Source organism: Homo sapiens, chromosome 3 (genome assembly GCF_000001405.40).
Source record: "Homo sapiens chromosome 3, GRCh38.p14 Primary Assembly".
Lineage (NCBI taxonomy): Eukaryota > Metazoa > Chordata > Mammalia > Primates > Hominidae > Homo > Homo sapiens.
Genome location: NC_000003.12, coordinates 154,962,487 through 154,973,337, shown reverse-complemented (window position 1 = coordinate 154,973,337; position 10,851 = coordinate 154,962,487). Strand labels below are relative to the sequence as shown.

The 10,851-nt window shown below is 37.1% G+C and overlaps 1 long non-coding RNA gene across 2 annotated transcripts in view; it reads left to right on the top strand.

The window, feature by feature from the left end:
• Positions 1-3,072: 3,072 nt before the first annotated feature.
• The window catches only part of LOC105374171 (uncharacterized), a 71,200-nt gene continuing 63,421 nt past the window's right edge, over positions 3,073-10,851 (top strand). The window contains exons 1-2 of one of the 2 annotated variants that reach the window (XR_001740569.2): positions 3,073-3,235; positions 3,656-4,387. This is a non-coding gene — a long non-coding RNA (uncharacterized LOC105374171). Of the gene's footprint in view, positions 3,236-3,655; positions 4,388-10,851 lie in introns of those variants that run through there. The other variant, XR_001740568.2, reaches the window with a different exon arrangement.

Sequence of the window (10,851 nt, the reverse complement as noted above, 5' to 3'; positions counted from 1 at the left end):
CCTGTTTTTACTTCTGAATGGGTGGCTTATTTCTTTCCAGCATTTTTTTTTTCTGATTGACCCAAAATGGGTGCAGATGTGGTAAGCACATGCTGAAAGTTGTTGAATATTATTTTCACCCTTATGAAAGGCCTGACATAAGCAGTTTCAGATTGTGTGAATTCTTAATTCTGCAGTGGGCTTCCAACAGTGGTTCTGTTGCCAGTGATAACAAAAACCTGGGAGAGACCTTGGGCGGTAAACCACAGACTTAGTTCCCAAGAATTGAAGACCTCATATGTTCCTTGGTATGTGATCTTGTGAAATGCAGAGGTATAAAATGAAGTTTTGACTTTCAAAATTGGTCCTAGGGACTAAATTATGATGTAAGGTATTTTCCCTATATGTTTTAGTGCATACTTGTAGAAATTGGCTTCTGTTATTTTCTTGTTTACAACAAAGATCATCTTTTTGTGCCATTTCTGAATTTTGAATTTTCTTTTGGTTCTTTCTAATACCTTTTTGTTAGTGGCATGTTGTATTGAAGAGCCACTAAACTGGGAGTAAAAAAAATCTGCCTGTTTCTCTCTTGTTTTGTGAAACAAGTATATATTGTAAATATATAATTGCTGAAAAATAAGGATAATATTATATTCTACCTAACTTTTGTACACAATAGCTATTCACATTGCTCAAAAGTTGTTTTTCAATACTTACGGAAAACATTTAATTAAACAGAGTTAGCTTGACTGTATGTATTTTTTACTTTGGGGTCTAAAACTGTTCATTCCAGAGGTTCTAGGAAGATGAATTGTTTTTTTAACTGGGGAAATTAAAGACTTACTTCTTGATAGAGGATCATCAAGGAATGGATTACATTTGTATATTTCCTTTTATTTCTGGTAAATAAAAAATTATAGGAGGCCATTGTTTTGAGCTACACTCCTACACTAGACCCCAACAGATCAGACTAAAAATCAAAACGGAGTCGCTCACGCTGTGGTTCCACATTACCAAACCAAAACTGAGTGGTTATCTAACCTTTGGAGAAGCCCAAAAGGAGAGATAACAGCTTAATTTCCCAAACAGACTGGTTTCAATCTACAGGATAATGAAGTTCCCTCTGCCTTTAATCTTTAAAGGGAAGGTAACCTGAAGTAACCTGATATTAAGCAATCAGTTATTTCTCTATTGTTTCCCTGTTCCTGCCTTACAAGGGAAATAGCTTTGAAATGACCAGTCACATTTTGTTCTACATTTCTGCTTTCTTCAGTTCTTCTCCGTCTATAAAACCAAACCCTTCCACTCAGCTTATTGGAACACTTATTCTATTTTATGGAATGAAGTGTTGCCCAATTCTAAAAATGCAATAAAGCCAATTGAGATCTTTAAGATAAATTTGTTGTAGCTTTGTCTTTTGGCAGATCTAAGCATACAAGGGCTAGATTAATGCACTCATTCATTTCCTTATTTAACAAAATTGTATTGAGTGCTTTCCACATACTAGGTACTTTGCCAGGGCCCAGGGGATACAGAGGTCAATTACAAAAACAGTCCCCGTCATATTGTCTGCAGACTAGTGTAGAGATGGACAAGTTAGCTGTTGCAGTAAGAGTGCATTAGTGGAACACCTGAACCTAGATTTGGGGGTCAGGAAAGGAATTCTGAGAGGAAAGTAGAACTGAGAAATAAATAGAAATTATTCAAGCCTGTGTGTGTTGAGAAAGAGAAAGTGGCAGTGTGTGCATGTGTTTGTACTTTAAGGAAGAGAAAGAGACAAGCACAGGGAGAGAGAGAACGTGAGTACACACTAATAGCTTAAGTCTACATTTGGATTGTATTAAAATAACACCAAAAGCTGATGGAAACTCATGCCGCGATCGTCATTAGGCTCTTACAAGCTTGCTGGCCAGTTTCAAAGTTTGCTTTCTTGGAACACATAAAGATAATTTAATAAATTTTCCGTTCGGGGTAGGAGAAAGTTAATAGACTACTAAAGGGCCTAATTTACCTCCCCGGATTAGATTAATCAGACTTAAAATAGGGCATCTAAGATGCAGATGCCATGTTTAAAAGTATACTCTGTGCAATTCCAGAAGAACAAAGTTTTCCAGAAAGCATTAGTGTTTGGTCAATGTAATAAGACTAATTTCTCAAGAACCTCACACCTAGGTTTCAGGTAAAAGGAAAAAGAAAAAGTAATGATGATTCTGTTTTTCCTTCTCAGGCACATTTTTCAATGCATTAGACTGTTTGGTTTGGATGGTGCAAGGATCAAATCTATGTTGTAAGAGGAAAGCCAGATGATCTTTCAAAATGCATCTAAAATTTCTTCAGCCAACTCAAAATGAATGAGTCATGTTGACGTTATACTAGGGAGCCATGTCTTAAGCTAAATTCCTAATCCTTACATGATACTGTTTTTAATCCTTTGGCCTATTTCCCGAACTATTCAGTTGGACTCTTGTGCAGTGTCATTTCTCACACATCTCAGAGCCCAAGTGGACTTCTTGATGGAGTTGGCTTTACATGCCGTGATGCCTCCTTAGCATTTTGTAGAAAGAAATAAGATCCAATCCAGTTTCAAAACACCCTGGTTTGGGAGGATTCTGAAGTTCCCTAAGACCTTTAAAATGCTTTAATTTCAATTCAAGGATGGCAGCATGAATTAATTATTCAAAAGACAAAGGATGCCTCTAAGTGATCCTTCAAACTTGGGATTTATTAATTCATTCAAGAGATATTTACTGAATACTTATTATGCACCAAGCACTCTTCTATGTATTGCAGTGTGGCTGAAATCCTAGACATACCCAGTGCTGAGTCAGAATTTCAATATAATAAGACACACTCCACTGATCAATATATATTAATAAAAAATAAATAAAAATAAAAAATTCCATCAGTTGAGTGTTTCAAATGTTTGGGACAATCAAAATCTTGGCTTTGCCACTCAGTAGCTATGTGACCTTCAACTTCTTTTCTCTGAGCTGCCGTTGTCACATTTCTTAATTGTGTCCAACAACTACTTTCATGAGAGGAATGGAAGAGATTGGCTGTAACAAGTCAAATGCAAGGGGAGCTGCTTTGAGAGCCCTCAACTTGCACTGTTCACCTGTCAGGTTTTATCTTTCAGGGGTCAGCCAAGCCAGTGGGAAGCCTACGACATTCCCCTGGGTCACTTAGTGAACTCCTACTCTTTCATCAGGCCTCACTTGAACATGACTTCCTCCAGAAGCCTTCCCAGACATCTTTGGTGAGTATATGTGCCTTATATGCATTTCTAGGGTATCCTATCTATCTGTATCATAGCATTTGCCACAATTTAATGTGATGGATGTCTGTTCTGTCTTCTATCTTTCTACGAGAGTCTATGCTTCAAAAGGGCAGAGAATGAATGTGTTCTGCTATCTATTTTAGTTCCAGTATTTAGAAGGGTCTATTTGTTATTGTTGAATGAATTAATGAATGTGTATCTGTATCCCACAAGCTAAATAGAAATTTATGAATGAGATAAAGGTGCATATTGGTCTATATTGTTTGCCTTGCACTTGTATACATGTAATTTCAGTTAAGCCTCAAAACCACTCTAAGTGGTGGAAGGACAGACATTTTGATGCTTGTGTGCTGATGAAAATGAGGTTCAGAGGGTAAAAGGATTTTTCTGTGTTTGCAGAGCTAGAAAGTCAGAAGAGTAGAATTGGAACCCAGCTCAGTCTGATGCCACATCCTTTGTTGTTTCCATTAAATCAGAGAATTTCTTAGTGCTGAGAAACTATTCTGGAACTTACAACAAAGGCAAGTGGGAAGGGAGTCGCCTGGAATTTGATCTCTGTAGATGCCTTTTTCATTTAGTTTATTTTTCATTTTTATCTGTTGCTTTGCTCTTATCAAATACAGATAAATAGCAGCTGCTACTGGTGCTGTTGATTGCGATTTCTGTTTGAAAATGGAATCTTGAGCATCTGTTCTCTCCTTTTATATTTTACTGTGAGAGAAAATCTATTTTTTTCAAAAGGTAATTCATACACATGGTAAAAATTTAAACAATATAAAAACCTATTTTTAAAAAACATATACTCTTGAGTATTTCTGTGTACTTTGCTTTCATCACTAATACATCTTTAAGTTTATTCCATATTGGTACGCAAAATACATATTTCATTATTCTAATGATTACATATTACTTAATTCAATTTGTAATACATAAATGGCAGTTTACTAATATAACCATATAAAAAGTAATCTAACAGAAGTTACAATGTTTTATCAGGTGAGCACTACACTGTTATTTTAATACTTGCCAGTTAAATCAAGCAATGTGACTGCTAAAAGTAGAATTCCCATACAGTAGGAAAGCACAATTTATTTTTATAATAAAAGCAATAAATGTGTTTAAAAATTTCAATCCTTTATTGTGAATCACTTGTGGCCAAGTATCACTTAGAATAAGAGTTCTAGAACTAAAAGTGTCTTTAGAGGCCTAGTACAGTTTGTTATAAGGAACACTGTGTGTGTGTGTGTGTTTGTGTGTTTGCATGTGTGTAAGACTATTTAGAAAAGTAAGCTTATATAAAGGTACAATAATGTCTTGTTTATTGAGTATCTACTTTGAGTCTGGCATATCATCAACATTTTATATCATTATCTTATTGCTTACAATCTTAGGGATAGGTACTATTATCATTTTTATTTTACAGGTAGGAAACAGAAATGCAAACTCTTTCTGATTCCAAATCCTATATTTATAACCACAGCACATTATTTGGTCTATTAGATGTAAAACAACTAAATTCCAGAAATAGTCTCCGAGCCCACCTACTTAGCCTCAATCTTCAATCTTGGAGGTCCCTGAAGGGGCTCCTCTAACCTTTAAGGTTTTTCACATGTTTTTACAATTGTTTCAGAGCCCATGCCAGGGTTAATAATCAGCCACTACTTACTGAAAACTGTACCAGTTTTGAAAATATTAAAGTACTTCTGAACCATTTAGTAAATAACCCTCTATGACCCAGCTACTCTCTAAGACTGACTGGTTGTTGTGGATTGAATGGTATCCCCAAATTTTGTATGTTAAAATTCCATTCCCCAAGACCTCAGAATGTGAACATATTTGGAGATAGGTCTTAAAGAGGTTAAAATGAGGCCGTTAGGGACATATCCTAATCCAATATGACTGATATCCTTATAAGAAGAGGAAGAGACACCAGGGATGTGTACCAACAGAGGAAGGGTCGTAAGAGGATACAGTCAGAAGGCAGCTGTCTGCAAGCCGAGGAGGGAGTCCTGAGGGGAGATCAAACCTGTGGACACCTTGGTCTTGGACTTCTAACCTCCAGAACTGTGAGAAAATAAATTTCTGTTGTTTAAGCCACCCAGTCTGCAGTATTTGATTATGGCATCCCTAGGAGACTGATACACTTGTTTCTCTCATAATCTGGAAACTAAAGAGCTGGTTCCTGGCACACACCAGAGGCCTCCCCAGGGGAACTTGCTCTGGTTGGTTACTCCTTGTGACTGTGGACATTTTGCTTGTTTTCAGCAATCTATGCTGTAATGAATGTTCTTGTACATATGTCTATATATTCATCTGGGGATATATTTTAATATACATTTCTAGAAATAAAATTGCTAGGTGGGTTGACTTAGAAAATAACTTCATGTATTTTAACATTCTTCATAAAATACCTTTAAAAATTCATCTGGGCAAAGCTACATTTGTGAAAGACACTTGTGTATTTGTTGTGCTCATTTTGGTTTCTTCTTGATGCTAATAGCTACCTTGCCTTTCAAGGGAGAAAAAGTTTCAAAGTAGAAAATATTTCAAATGCGTTAAGTAGAGGTTTGAAACATCCCATAACCCGCTAAATGAAGCCCAAAGCCACAAAGGGCAGAAAGGTCTAGGCAGCTCTGATAATGACTTTAAGTGGGAGCAAGGCTGCAGAGCACCATTGCTGAGAATAAAGGCTTAACATAATGCCTTTCTCCTGGGCATCCTTTGCCCACAAAACTTACCCATAATGACAGTTTACATTATGTTCATTCCTTCAGGAATAATTACTGTGCCTCCATGTGGAAGTTTTCTCATTCCAAAGAAGCAGGATCATCCATCATATTAATGTGATATGGTTTTGCCAGATGCCAGATGAATTAGCAAATGGTATTCAACATACACATTCATCAATTCTGACTAGTGCATAAATAAAATCATAAGGATATATCTTTGGAAAATACTGGTGGGCATTGTCACAATATTTTAAAAATTGTCCAGACAGGTATATTTTTCTCTTAGTCACTTGAAACATTTAGAATTAAATTAACTTTTGTCAAAAGATGGTTCTTCTTTAATATAAATTGAAAAAGGCCAGAGGCAGAAATTCTCCAAATTGAGGATATATCAGAATCACTGAGGGTATGTTAAAACACGGATTACTGAGGCCAGGTGCTGTGGCTCACACCTGGAATCCTAGCACTTTGGAAGGCCCAGGTCAGGAGTTCGAGACCAGCATGACCAACATGGCGAAACCCCGTCTCTACTAAAAATACAAAAATTAGCCACGTGCGGTGGCGGGCGCCTGTAGTCCCAGCTACTGGGGAGGTGGAGGCAGGAGAATCACTTGAACCCGGTGGGCGGAGGTTGCAGTGAGTTAAGATTGTGCCACTGCATTCCAGCCAGGATGACAGAGACAGACTCTGTCTAAAAAACAAACAAACAAACAAACAAACAAACAAACAAAAAAACCAAAAAAACCAAACACAGATTCACAGATTACTGGTCCTTACTCCAAAATTTTAGACTGAGTAGGTCTGGAATGGGCACATGGTTCTGCATTTTTAATAAGTTTTCAGTTGATGCCAATTGATGCTTCTAGTCTGGAGAGCACACTTTGAGGATTGCTGGTCTTGGAAGGTCTTTTACAAGATTTAAGTCACATACCAATCACTTAGGTATCTTTTGAAGATACAGATTCAGATCCAGTAGGTCCTGGGTGGTGCTCAAGATTCTGCTTTTTTTTTTTTGAAACAGAGTCTTGCTCTGTTGTCCAGGCTGGAGTACAGTGGCATGATCATGGCTCACTGTTACCTTGAACTCCTGGGCTCAAGGGAAGATTCTGCACTTTGACAATCTCCTGAGAGATGCTGCTGGTCCATGGGCCACACTTTGAGTATCAAGTGTGTTTCAATGTATAGTATATTTAGTTGGTTGACAATTTAGGGGTTGTCTGAGTAAAAGATAAAGGTAATTTTTAAAATATGTATGACTTTCCCCACTTTCTTGCAGTTTCTCTATTGAATGTTGAATGCCTTGAAACTGATTACCAGGCCTTTTAATGTAACTTAGCTCATGGTCCTCTCACCCAGAAAATGTGACCAATTTGACCCATACTTTCCACCTCCAAATTTTGCTGAGGCCCAGTTTGATATGTTTTCAATTACATGCTCAGAAATAGAAACTGGACACAACACATCTTTGCTCATTGAGACCATGTATATGCAGAGTAAATAAGTAATTTACCTAGGACACAAAACCCAGGGCAGGTATGCTACTTGCCCTCTTGTTGCTTAGGAGAGGCAACATGGTGGGAGTGGATTCTAAAGACTGTGTAAGGGAAGAAAGGAGATAACCTTGATGATCTGGTGATGATAACAGTTTTCTAGAAATAGGGTGTGGCCTAGGTAGAGGTTTAGAGTCCAGAGTGGGGGCAATTACCCATACACAGTAGCTAACTTCTCTAGCAGACTTTTGAGGTAAGAAAGTAGAAGTCTTTTCCATTTCATGAGGCCAAGTGTCATAGGAGGACTTCAGACTTCTGTCATCAGTTTCCAGCATCCATTCCTCTGTCCTATCACTTCACCTACCAGTGTATATCAGTTCAAACTGGGGTCATTAGGCTCCAAAGGATTGAATCACAGAACCATAGAATCTCAGAGTTGAGAAGAACCTTCTGGCTTTTTCTCCTCTGAAACTGTGATTCAGCCCTAATGAAACTCAAAGTAGATACGTTCATAATCCATCTCTAAGATAATATCTCCTAGATATCAGAACAAATTCAAAATATGAGGATCCTTTGAGGAGTATTAAGACACCTCAAAACTGAACTAAAATTTGGAATCAATAAAATCAAATAGTGTTGGAAAGGATGAGAAGTTTTGTGGGACACTTCACTCAACTATGGAAGAGTATGCAAACTAATTTGTTCTCCTATGAATATTGCAAATGTTAGCCCCAGATTTTCTAAGTTGGCATTAGATTCAAACATTCTATGTATTGTACACAGATCTGCTTAGATTGCATGTCACAATATTTGGTTTGGTAAATATAATCAATATAACTAAAGAGTTCTTCCCAAGGGCAGCAACCCTTTTTCCCTAGAGAGTCTCGGTCCCCCGGTGATATGACAGGGCTGTGATAGATTGTCTATCCAGCTCTCCTGGCTTTGGCCTCTGCACTAAACTGCCCATTCTCTTTGAGGACCTCAAGCTTTAGAGTTGAATACTTGGCAACCTTTCTGAGCCTCACAGCATATAAAAGCCACAATTTTTGTGGCCTTGAAAAGAAGGCTAGCCTGTAGTGTTGCAAAGAATTAAATACATTTTGTTTTAAAAAGATATAATTTTATTACTTTTAAACACCATGGGTAAATCACTTCACCTCTTTCAACTTGAAACAGACAATGAAAGTTTAAGAGACTCAAATCCACTCCCTAAATCTGAGTCCCTGCAGCTGTCCTGCCTTTGTTGCCCTTTCTAAAACTGTCTAACCAAATCTAGGCAGATAATCTCTTTAAGCTCAACATTTTCCTGTATGTATAATAAAAATATTATTATTAATTATTTATTCTGTGATTAATAGATCATTTATTTAGTGACCATTTATTGAACCCTACTAGATTTCCCTTTACCCAAAATGTTAGACACAAAGAAAATGAATGAGGCATGGCCCCTGCCCTGCAGAAATCCACTGTCTAGTAGGGGAGATAAGCATTCATTTTTCATTAATTCATTCCAAGAATGTACATTGAGTTTCTATCATGCCCCCGCCACTGTTCTTAAGCGCTAAGGAGCTTACGTTTTAGTGGTGGTAGCAGGGACAGGGGAGAGGGAGAAGATAGATAATAATCAAGTAAACAAGCAAATGACATAGTATCAGTAAAAATACTAAGAAATCAGGGTAAAGGAACAGGGCGTTCAGAGGAGGCATTTCTTATTGGGTGACAACACCAATGAGACTTGAATGATAAGAAGGATCAGGTCATGTGATGATCTGGAAGAAGAGCATTCCAGGTGGTAAAAAGATCTGGAGTCCAAAAGAAATACCCTGTATTCCAGGGAGAGAAAGAAGATGGAGGGTGAAGGAGTAATGACACATAATGACAATGAGAATAGATAAATGATAAGAGAAAAGAAAGTATAAACTGCTTTGGAAATATGGGCATGTGTAACTGTCTGGAAAGGGTAGACGGATGTGGGGCCATGTCTTGGGGTGAGGTGGCTTTGCAAAGAGTCATTGAGAGTAGGCACCAGCAATCTTTTATCTAGGATGCTTCTAAGATTCTTGCCTAAGGAGGCGGAGGAAATGAATAAAAAGGGAACCAGGCTTGGGGAGTGGGATGGAGAGGGGAATGCTGTCTAACAGCGCTTTCTAATTTTATGCATTCTCATAGATGAAAATATCTAAAAGGAATTTACATGCCTAGAAAAACAACTTTGTAATAATTGTACACGATTAGATACACTTTGGCTCAATTTTATTTTGAGTGATCATAAATTCCGACTTAGTAAAAAGTCTGCATTGAGATTTTTATGTCGCCTTGCCGTTTTGTCTAGGAAATTGAGATCTATGCCAAAAAGCTTTTTCCTTATCAAGCGCTATTGATTTACATATCAATTTTTAAAGAATATTTATGTGTGTGCACTGTGTATTTTTTCATTTTAACAGAGATGTAAGGGAATAAGGCATAATTCTCTTATTACAGTAGTAATAAGGGAATAATAGTAATAGTACTCAGTCATCTTGACTGGTCCTTCTGATGAGGACTGGGAAGACTCTGAAAATGTTATCTACTTTGTGGCTGGAAAAAAATTAATAATATTAACATTTAAAAATAAAAAGAAATTTAAAACACTATGGGTTTAAAAACCATAACATGAGTTCTGGAACTCGTGTGTGTGTGTGAGAGAGAGAGGGAGAGCACAAGGGAGAGACAGAGATGGAAACTGAGACAGAGATACAGAGAGATTGTGGTTTTTGAAGAGAACAAATGATCCAGGTGTGCTGTGGGTTGTCCCATGGATCTTATTGTTCCTATTTTTAGACCCCTCAGCATACCTTGGGCTTTATGAGTGAAAAACAAAATGCAGTGGAACTCATTTAGTGTCACCTGAAACCATGTGATATAGTCAAACTTCCCTTTCATATTCTGAGAAAAACATGATTTGAGGTTTTAAAATTTTGCTGGCATCTGTCCCCTCACCTTTATAAGTGGAACCAAGGACAAAGCTAGTGTTGTTTGCTGCTAGCTCTGACAAGTGAGGGCATTATAAAATAGATTTTAAAATTACTTAAAGAAATGCAAAATTCCATACTTTTCTTTGCATCCCTAGGCAGTCCCCTCCCAAAACTTTATTTTTAACTAAGATGATTTCAAAGCTTGGTATTTTCAAGAATTGTAGTAGTGTTTGTGTTCTTTAAAAAATAAATTGCATTTCTACGCATCAGCAAAGGTTATAAAGTATGTAATGTTTTCTCTCATGTTTTATCTTTTAATAGAAAGATTAGAATAATAGTACTTCAAATTGAACTTGGATAGCATTTTTAACCAATTTTTTAGAAAGCATATTTTTGTTCTATCTTTTTTATACACATTTGAA